General features: G+C 42.7%; 1 long non-coding RNA gene across 3 annotated transcripts, besides 1 other annotated feature; it reads left to right on the forward strand.

Moving 5' to 3' along the window:
• The first annotated feature begins 501 nt into the window (after positions 1–501).
• On the forward strand, positions 502–9401 carry LOC105375903 (uncharacterized). Of its 3 annotated transcripts, XR_001745956.1 has the most exons (3): positions 502–652; positions 8479–8613; positions 8841–9401. It is a non-coding gene; the product is annotated as an uncharacterized LOC105375903 (long non-coding RNA). The 3 variants fall into 3 exon arrangements; XR_929052.2 differs by lacking the exon at positions 8479–8613; XR_929053.2 differs by lacking the exon at positions 8479–8613 and having other exon boundaries at positions 502–627.
• Positions 10246–10355: an enhancer, noted in NCBI's record as "active region_27541". NCBI's record gives its function as "activates an Ori minimal core promoter by ATAC-STARR-seq in GM12878 lymphoblastoid cells {active_cell/tissue: GM12878}" and the evidence as "EXISTENCE:reporter gene assay evidence [ECO:0000049][PMID:35858748]".

Consider the following 11114-nt stretch of genomic DNA (forward strand, 5'->3'; position numbering starts at 1 on the left):
TCTGGACTGCTCCAGCCAGAAGGGAGGTGAGGATGGGCGCATTTGCTGGAGATCCCTGACCCAGTCATCTCTTTCTTTGGGATGAATAATGGAGGACAGCACCTCTTGCCTCCAGAGGATTCTTGACAACAAAACCCAGATTTCTTGTCTACACACTGTGTCTCCTGCTGACTTCTCTGAGGTCCAACACACTGTATTCCCTGCTGATCCCTCTTCTCTTTGCTTAATTCATGCCAGCCCTGCTGGTCCCTGGGCTGATCCTAGAACACACAGGTGGAATCCTGCCTGTAGGCATTTGTGCCTGCTTTTCCCTCTGCCTGGGGTTGTTTTCATGCCTTGCCCATTCAAGGGCTTCTTGCAAGTATCTGCTCAACTGTTGCCTTATCAGAGACCACTCTATTTAAAATACTACCTTCCTGCCTCCCCTTCCTCCCCAGCTGAGTCTCTACCCCTTTCCTGGCTTTGTTTCTTTTCTTAGCACTTCCCACCAACTGACTTATGTTGTGTGTTTGATGTGACATGCTGAGTGTACGTCTCCCATCACCCAAATGCAAGCTCCTTGAGAGCAGCGACGTGGTATTTCCAATGCCTGGAACAGTACGTGGCACCTGATGAGTACAGTCAAAGGTATTTCGGAATGTTTGCTGAGTGGGTAAGGGCAATTTTCCTAAAAAAGTCCTCTTCCTCTAACCTTCACTGTCTCTGCTTGTTTACCTTTTATTCATTTTGTAATTCATGGCAATGAAGCTTCACCCTTGGCAGGACCATGTCCTCTTACACTCTTACAGTTCTTTTTAGTTCCTATTCGACTTCACCTTTCTGAAGCAATTTATGCTATGGAAACAGTATTGTGGGCTTTGGAGCCAGAAAGGTCTGGCCTTGAATTCTGTTTCACCCCTTAGTAGCTATGTGATTCTGGGCATGTTATTTCACCTTTCTTGGTTACCATTTCCATGTTAGTTACATCAGAATATTAATATCTCATTCATGAGATTTTCCCAGGAACATGAAGTAAGGGACATGTGTAAAACTCCGGGTACAAGACTGAGTACATAATCAGAGTTCAATAAATGTTAGCTCCGTTGCTTTCTTCCCTTTTCTATTCCACTTTATTGTGACTCCACTTTCTTCTCTATTATGTTACCTCTCTCGTCACTTCTTTGTGTCCCTTGCACACTTTTCTTTTTTCCTTCTCCCCACCTTCTGAACTATTATGTTTCCCCAAATCTGTCCTCAGCCTTGCTCTTTTTCTGCTAATGTGTGCTCCCTGGGTTAGCTCGTCCACACCTGTGACTCCAATTAGCATCTATCAATGATTCCAAAGACCGCAGGCCCATCCCAGGCCTCTCTCCTGGGCTTCCAGCTCATACTTCCTAGTGCTGACATCTCCATGCACATGTCCCATGGGCTTCTCCACTTCAGTGTGTCCCGACTCTACTCATTCACTTCCCTCCAACCTCTCCTCTGTCCTAGAGCATGGTCCCATCTTCCCAGTTGCTCATTGGAAATTTGAGTCAGTTTTTACTGTTCTCTCTCCTGTGTTTCATATCACAAAGCCCAATAATTTCTAATTGCCAAATATACTTTAAACATTTTCACCTTATTTGCTGCTTCCTTAATTCAATCTCTAATCTTTTCTCACCTATGTGACTGCCGTTGTTTTTAACTATGCTCCCCATTCAATGTGTTCTCTCTTAAATAACCTTCCTATGATTATATCACTTCCACTTAAAAAACAAGATAATTCAATGGTTGTCTGTTATCTTTGGGATTGAGTTAAAACTCTTTAGCCTAACAAACAAGACTTTTCATGAACTGACCCCATTCCCAGCTACACTTGCAGTTCCCCCAACATGCTGAGCTATTACAAGCCCCCCAACTTTGCCCAAGCTGTTCCTGTTGCGTGGAACACCCTCCTCTTCCCCTTGTCTATTTGGCAATCTCTGCTTAAGCCTTGCAGTACTCAGTTGCATCACCTCCTCTTTGAATCTTTGCTGCACTTTCTAAGCTGGGGCAAGTGCCTGCCTTGGAAGTCCTTCCCCATCCCTTGTATTCCCATTATATGACTTACCTCACTCCACTGTAACCTACTGATTTTCCTGTTTCATGTGCAGTCCCACAGGGTGGAATGTCACGGAGCCACTCACCTCTGATTCCCCAGCATTTAGCACATCTGGCCCTCAATAGATAATGGTTGGCTGAATGAAGAGTGGGGTTAGTGTTTGTTTTAGTAGAACAAACTGATAATGGCCTAGATCACCCTGTAGGGCATTGAAGCTGTTGATAAATTCAGCTTTGCCTCCTTCCACCATTGTTCCCCATCATATATTGCATGTGAATTCATTGGAGACTTGCCTTCAGCTTCTTTTTTTTTCTTTTTAGAAAGAGTTCAGTTTTCCTCCTCCATCAAATCTGAAGGAGTACATTGGACTAGTTCATCTGTAGGCTCCCTTCCCACTCTGATATACCATGATGACTTCTAGTGAGAATAGAAACTAACAGCCCCAAAGGCATGTCCCAGCCCTGTCATCAAACAGCTGAAGGACCTTGCACAAGTCACTTAGCCTTCTTGAGCTTCGACTTCCTCTTTATAAAATGGAAGGAATATTCTTCTAAATGTTTGTGGGGATTAACTTAAAGTATGTGAAAGCATCAAATGCAAGGCAATATTTTCAGGGTGTTATACCCCATATTTCTACACTTTATGCATCTTGAAATAAAGAGGGACAAATATCACATAGCACTCTGGTCATGATATTTTGGATCAGGAGAGGCCATATCAAGAACTTTGGGTGAAGTTGTGAGGAAATAATGCAGTCTTCAAATAACTCAGAGCATTCAGAACATACTAGAAGACTGTCTTAGAGAAGTGGTCTAAGAACCTCTCTTCTGAAACCTAGATGAGCTGAAATGGAATCCCCTGGGGTGAAGCTATGAAGACTGGGGTGATGTCCACCTTGCTGGATCTCTCAGCTCTATCCAGGGTGGTGCCCTGGAATGTTCTGCTGAAGTGTTCCTCTGAGACCACTGACAATCATGGATAAAGATGTCACTGCTGTGATTTAGAAATCCAGGAAATCCTTGAAGAATATTTCAAATGCAGAGCCCCAGAAGCTAGCTGGCATCATGACTACAAAAAGTCCTGGTCAGGAGACCACAGCCAGGGATGGAGGCCATCTGTAGATAGACCAGTTCATTCGATAAGACTTAGTGAGCAACTGGTATGAGTCAGGTCCACTGTCAAGCTCTGGGAAGGCAAAGATGAATAAGAAATGGTTTGTGGCTATAGTAGAAGTTACAGAAGGGGTTTGGTATCATCAGGGTCTGGAGGAAAGGGTTGTCACAAGGAGATGTGGCCCTTCCCACAATGACTGACTACCAGAGTGCCTCAGGGACACAGGGACCAAGGGTATGGGAGGAAGCCCAGCCTGGTCCCCACTTGTGCAGCCCCCTCCCAATAACTGCATGAGTGACAGGTCCCTGTTCTCCCATCTCTATACCATGGTGGTCAGGGGACCTCCCAAAGGTTCAGATGCAGAACCGCAGGTGTGGTTTGGGTTGTGAGCAGACAGGCAGAGCTATCGCTCACACACATGGTTCTATTTGGTAGGCACAAAAAGCCCTCCCACTTAGAAATAACTTCCCCAGAGGCCTGTACTGCCTGACCTTTCACTAATGCAGATTCATTGTTTCAAACTATCAATGAATGACCATTAAAAATAGGAATAATTCTACAAATACTAATGATACTTAGTACCTACTGATATTTCCTTTATGATAGTCTCTAAGTGCTTTACAGCTATTAAGTCATTTAATTCCCACAACAGCCTGAGGCAGGTATTATCATTATCCCCATTTTACACATGAGGAAATGGAAATGCTATGAAGGAACTTTTCCAAAGCAGGTCACACAAGGAAGTAGTAGAGGCGAGATTTGAATCCAGGCAGACTGGCTCCAAATTCATGCTATTAAACACTACGCTTTTCTAGAAAGAGCAGCATTGAGACTTATTAGCAATTAGTTCCTTAGTTTAAACTACAGCAGCTAATATTTAATGAGCATTTATGGTGTGCCTGGCACACAAAGTGGTGTTTATTATTTAATTTATTGTTAATAAAACCTATAGAGTAGGTACTATTATTAGCATTTTACAGATGAGAAAAATAAAACTTGGGGCAGAAAAAGAATTAACCTGAGGTCATATAAGCGGGAAATAGGGAAACAGGATTTGAAATCAGGCAGTTTAACTCCAAAATCCACACATCCAATGGCTACCTTCGCTTGTGATGTACAATTGGGTGAGACCAGACATTTGTGAGCTGTCATGCCCAGTTTGTCAGTGGGAAAGCAGGCCTTGTGGGGAAGGTCAGTCCAAGGGCTCTGTGGCACTCCTGGGGAAAACAGGACTTGGGACACATGGAAATAACCCTTTTCACCCCTCAATTCCATCTGGGGCTGACTCTGCCCACTGTCCAGCTCAGAATTTGAAGATATAGCTTTATTTACTAAAGCCTTACCCACCAGGTCTAACATTCTATCACTGAACTTTAAAACCAAAAACGTTAAGGAGCTTCTATTTCAACATCCCACCCAATGCCACATGTAATCTCCCTGACAGGTACCAGCATTCTCATTTACAAGAACTTGTCTTTCTCAAGGCAACCATTCCTTTGTTACAGCTCGCTATGGTGGTCAAATTATTGAACTGTAATCTCTCCTCCTGGAACTTCCATTTCTACCCTCCAGAGGCTAAATGAATCAGGTCCCTCTCAGGCAATCGAGAAAGCTGTGTTCTCTGATGCCACAAGACCTCTGCTCATGCTATTTCCTCTGCCTGGAAGGCTAGCTCCTCCCTTCCAACCCATTTTGTTAATTTTGACTTGGCCTTTCACTTCAACATAGTCATTTCCTCAGAAAGCTTTCCCTGGCCTCCCTGACTTGGTCAAATCTCTTAATTATATACTTTCAGAATATCATTGTCTTAGATCATGTTCTCTAAAAGCAGAACCTGGGGCAGGGGTTGTGTGTTCTCATGATTTATTGAGGGAGTGCTCCCCGCCAAAAAAACTGAAAGGTAGTAAAGGAACCAAGATAGGGAAGGAGAAAGAGCCACACAAGAATGAGGTTTCAGGTGAGTTTGGTTCAGCCTGATTTGGAAAGGAGCGCAGGAGGGTAAACTGAATCTGTCCTGCCTTGAGGCAAATGTGGGGGGCTCTTGCATTCCCACCCCAGTCAGTGGTTGGCCGTGCGCTGCCATGGGTGGGTGAATTTCCAAGCACTTCCTGCAGGAAATGTCATGGGCAATGCTCTGGAAAGGCTGCAGGCATCAGCCATTAGGTAAAGACTGGCAGCAGCTGCAGCAGCCAGGCATGGGCTTGCTCACTAAACAAGCGAAGGGCATCCCAGAGGTCTGAGTGGGGCACCAGCAGTGTGTGCTATAATCACAGCCTCTCCTTCATGGAACTTGCCCAAGTAAGATTTTTACATTTATGCGCATGGTTATTTGATTGAAACCTGACCTTTCCATTGGAGCATAATCTCCTTGTGGCCAGAACCTGAGTCTTGTCGAGTTATTTTCCCACAGTCATTGAGCCAGTCAATGTCTTCGCTTGTACGGTTTCCACAGTGCCAAGCACAGGGCTTGTAGATAGTTGGCGTTCAGAAAGGACTAGTTGAGTGAATAAATAGATCAACAGATAAATGATTGAAGCCTACTTTCTCTTATAGACGATAACAGTCTCTTTTATGTCCATATCTCCTTTTCTACTTATCAGCTTTTGGATGTTTTCAATTCTCTTCTGTCTTACAGAATCTTTTCCTTTCTGGCTTCCTTGAATTACATTTTCCATCCTGTCTAGGAATCCTATATCCTGGTTGTTAACAAGCCAGGGTGTCTAGAGACATTTATCAAATGCTTGTTCTCAAGAATGGGGCTCAGCCTGCCTTTGTAACAACTCATAATTCCTAAGGACCTCAAGGAAAAAGAAACAGCATATATCCTTTAGATAAGATTCTTTCATGTTCTTTCAATGTCCCTTTCTGGGTGTCAGGGGAAACAGTGGTGAATTACAGTCATTTTTCTTCTCCTGGAGATTTTTGTGGCTAACTTTCCATTGACCTTTTGCTGTATCCCACTACCCTGCTTTATACTATTTAGAGTGCTGAGGATTTTGTATTCATTCTTGCTAATCTATCTATTGGCTCATTAAATCAGCCAAATCCCACCTGTTTTCATACAGATTGTTGAAGGGTCAAAGCCCAGAAGCAATGAGACGAGAGAAGGCTAAGTGTTGATGGTCGAGAAGCTGTTTGGAACATAAATGCTTTTAGAATGTTTAGGATACTGGGCATTGGGTAGAGAGAGTGTTCTAATGAGTGATAGAAGGTTCTGGGGCACAAGTAGTCTGGCTTACATTCTAGGAATGACTCTATTGGATTAAGCAGTGGAGTTCCAATTGTGCTCTGCCTTGACAAAATATGTGCATGTGTGTTTTTTTTGTTTGTTTTGTTTTTGTTTTTTGTTTTGTTTTGTTTTGTTTTTCTGAGATGGAGTTTCGCTCTTGTTGCCCAGGCTGGAGCGCAATGGCGCCATCTCAGCTCACCACAACCTCCACCTCCCGGGTTCAAGCGATTCTCCTGCCTCAGCCTTCCTGAGTAGCTGGGATTACAGGCATGCACCATCATGCCTGGCTAATTTTTTGTATTTTTAGTTGAGAGGGGGTTTCTCTACATTGGTCAGGCTACTCTTCGAACTCCCGACCTCAGGTGATCTTCCCGCCTCGGCCTCCCAAAGTGCTGGGATTACAGGCATGAGCCACCGCACCCAGCTTTGTGTGTGTTTTAATTAGTCAGTCAAAAATATTGTCTGGGGTCTACTATTTGCCAAGCTGTGTTCTAGGCACTGGGAATATAGGAGACAATGAGACGACAAGGTCTCATCCTTCAAGGAGAATTCCAGAGTGTGTGTGTATGTGTGTGTGCGTGCATGTGTGTATTCATGTACAAATCCAATCCTGAGATTTGCAGCTATCTAAATCTGCTCCTGCAACATGCATACTCCTCTGGATTTCCATAGCCTCTCCTTCCACACATCAGGGCAGCTTGATACATGAAACAGAGCACTAGGCCAGGAGTAAAAAGGCTCCATTCTTGGCTCTATATTAACCAGCTGGGTCACATTAAAAACTATACCATGCGTCTCTGAGCCCGAGTGTCTTCATTTATAAAACAAAAGTGTTGGAATAAATATTCTCCATTTGCCGAATTCCAGGAAAACATTTACTGTGGGTCTACTATGTGCTGGGCACCTTTGTGGTATCTCATGAGATTCCATTTTCTCATTGAATTATCAGTGGAGCTGCTGTCCTCCTTGATTTATAGATGAGGAAACTGACACTAGAGACACTGAGTTACCTTCCCACGGCCACTTAGCAAGTCAGTGTCAGAGTCAGGATTAGACCCATTAGACCTGAACTCACGTTTAGTGCTATTTGCTCCATCATCACATCTGCTTCTCACTTCACTCCAGTGCCTGCGACTGACAGGGAGTGCAAGGTGGATTTGAGGGGAGTCAGAAAAGAAATGGGGGAATCCCATCTGGATTGGCTATGGCACTCCTACTGCCAACCTGCTTTAAATCCCTGTCTCCACGTGTTCATCCATGCTGGGGCAGTGAGGCAGTAGCATCGCTGGGAGGGAGAGCCCCAGATAAGGCGCTGGGCAAAAATGCACAGAATTTAGTGTTAGAGGCTAACCAGATGCATGTCCAATGATGTGCACAATAGCTATTATATTCTACAGTTTTCAAGAATAAATAGTAGTTTATGTAAGTACGATAAGTATTAGATTTTAAAAGTTAAGCTGAGTGCTGTTAGTTTTAGAATAAATGTCTTGGCTAAGATAGAAAATTCTTCACATTCAACTTTTCCCTTAAATGATTTGAGTCCCAGCTCTGGCCTTACCTGATCGTGTATTCTTGGCAGTGGTTCACTGCGCCCACTGATGTGTAGTTTCATCATCTAGAAAATGGGGACAACAATAGTAACTATTTTGGAGGGCTTTGGTAAAGACTAGATAATGTCATGAAAACAATTTGTAAAGTGCCAAACAAATGTTCATTTTTATTTTGTGCTAGGTCTTGTGCTATCCTAGCTGCTGGGGATATAAAAATGAAGAGGACACAGCCCTCTTAACAAGCCAGGGTATCTAGAGACATTCCTCAAGTATTTGGCTTTTTGATGACCTTTAAATGCTGTTTTCTTGAGGCCCTTGTGGGCAGGACTGCCTTTGACTTGTGTGTTCTAGTTGCTGCAGGTCATATAGTTTCCTAGTCCTCTCACTCCTTTGATTTATGTTACCCATGGAAAAAACTGAGTTGATTTAAGGGAATATCTCATTTCCTCCCATGCAAACCTCCAATCTTCTACCTTAGATCTTCCTGTCAGATTGCTTTCCTAACACCTGCATTCGTTTGTCAGTGACTGATAGCACAGCAAAGAAGCTCCATGCAGACTGGATTGCTGGCATGGGGTAAGGAGGAGAAGCCAGCCAGAGTGACCTGGCCCAGCGATTGGGAACCAGGGACCTTGACTAACTTTGTCCAGATGTAAAGGGTGAGTATTGCAGAGGCTGCCACTGTCCACTCATAACAACCTCCTTTCTTCCTTTAGTCAGATATCCCCCAGTTTAAGCTGGGTATGTATGTGACTGCCACGCTCCATGACACCTATGTGTGCTTGGGAGGCTAAGTTCTGTGATGTGAACATGAGTGATACGTGCAACCCTTGGGCTGTGTCCTCAGGGGAAGGCATTTTTACTCAGTCTTCTTTTCTTTCTGTAGGCTGGAATGTTGGCGTGATGGTTGAAGCTGTAACAGCCATCTTCGACTACAAAATGGAAGCTGCATGCTACAAATGACAGAAGACAAGATCAAAAGAACCTGTGTTCCCAGCACCACAGAACTGTCCCTATGGAAATAGACATGACTGTTACATAAGAAAGAAATATACCCTACTATGTTTAAGCCTCTGTTATTTTAGCATGTGTTGTAGCAGTTGTATACTAAGTAACTAATGAGAAAGAATATTTTGTGCCCTGGTAAAGATGGATACTTCTATATGTTATGAGAACAATTTGATGAGGTAATTGTAATTTAGTAGAATAATATCAAATATTAATGTCAAATGACTAGTTTGGCATTGCCACATAGTAATTGTTGGGCAAGTTATTAACCTGTGTCTCAGTTTCCTCACTGGTAGAATAACAATAACAGACAATCGTACTAGTGTCTAACGTTTTACTGAACATGTAGCTTGGTTCAGCGCCACACATTATTTGAATTAAGTAGAATAAGAGAGTCCTGAGTAAATATAACCCAAATGTAAATTATTTTTAAACTTTATTACATATGTGAATATTATTATTTGAGCTTCTCATACTGACTTCTTATTTACTTAACTGATTCTAGGCATTGACCACTCCTGAGATTTTGCATCCATACTCCCTAAAAGTTCTGGTCCAAAATTTAGCACACAATAAATATTTAATGAGGGCATAGCTTATTTTTAAGTAGGTACCTCTATTCACAGAATGTTTTTCTCTTGATTAAAAAAATTAATTGCATTATATACATAACATAAAATTCACTATTTTAACCATTTTAAGTGTACAATTCAGTGGCATTAAATACATTTACATTGCTCTGAACCATCACCACTATCCATTTCCAGAATTTTTCATCATTCCAAATAGAAACTCCATATTCATTAAATAATAACTCTCCATTCTTCCTTCCCTTGGCCCTTGGTAAACTCTTTTCTACTTTCTTTCTCTATGAATTTGCCTATTCTAGGCACCCCATATAAGTGGATTCATTCACTATTGGCCTTTTTGTGTTTGACTTATTTCACTTGAAATAATGTTTTCAAGGTTCATCATGTTATAGCACAGCACATGTTAGAATTTCATTTGTTTTAAAATTTATTTTACTTCATGTTCTGGGATACCTGTGCAGAATGTGCAGGTTTGCTACATAGGTATACATGTGCCATGGTGATTTGCTGCACCTATCAACCCATCATTAGAATTTCTTTCATTTTTAAAGTTCAATAATATTTTATTATAGGTGTATGCCATATCTTGTTTATCTATTTATCCATCAATGGACTCGGATTGTTTCTACCTTTTGGCCATTGAACAACGCAGCTATGAAAAAGGGTGTACATGTTCTTGATTTGTTGTTAAAGCAGCAATTTTGACTTCATATCAGGAGTTGACATTGATGTTTCTCTGGGGTGGTGCAGCACACTGGAACCTGCTTGCTCTGTTTCTGTTTCTGTTTCTGTTTCTGTTAGCGCGAGCTTGTCCAACCCATGGCCCACGGGCTACATGTGACCCAGGATGGGTTTGAATGTGGCCCAACACAAATTCGCAAACTTTCTTAAACATTGGAGCTTTTTCTGAGGTTTTTTTTTTTTTTTTTTCTCATCAGTTGTCGTTAGTGTTAGTGTATTTTATGTGTGGCCCAAGACAATTCTTCTTCTTCCGTTATGGCCCAGGGACATCAAAAGATCGGGCACCCCTGTGGTTAGCACGATGCTTGGAATATTGAGTATTTCACTGGTGCCTAGACACAAAAGCTATCCCTGGCAGAGCTGTGAGAATGTTCACAGTGTGAGGCCATCTCACTTTGCACAGAAGGATTCTAAGTCACAAAGAGAACATGGAGAGGGTGACACCAAGGTATACAGGCACAACATGAATTGTGCAAATGAATTTCTCTCTGTTCCTGGGTATAATGTGTCACACTGATACTTGCAGACTGGATGCAGGGGTGCTTCAGTTTACTGAACAGAGTCAGAGTTGGAGATGGGAGCTGGAGGTCCGGCCTTCCATACCCGGTACTGTAAATGCTGTGTATGTGTTTGGCCGATAATCCTTCCATCTCTCAGTGTTGGCTCCCTGTTGTACAGGCAGAAGCTGATGACTTTGAAGCTGCATTATAGCAGAAGATTGCCTGAAGAATGTGACCATTACTCTAGCTTCTGGAAAATGCAATCATGAGGATTCTCACTTAGGTCGTTTAGCTCCAAAGACATGGCTCCCTAGGCCTGCA

The sequence above is a fragment of the Homo sapiens genome, chromosome 8 (genome assembly GCF_000001405.40).
Source record: "Homo sapiens chromosome 8, GRCh38.p14 Primary Assembly".
Taxonomy (NCBI): Eukaryota; Metazoa; Chordata; class Mammalia; order Primates; family Hominidae; genus Homo; species Homo sapiens.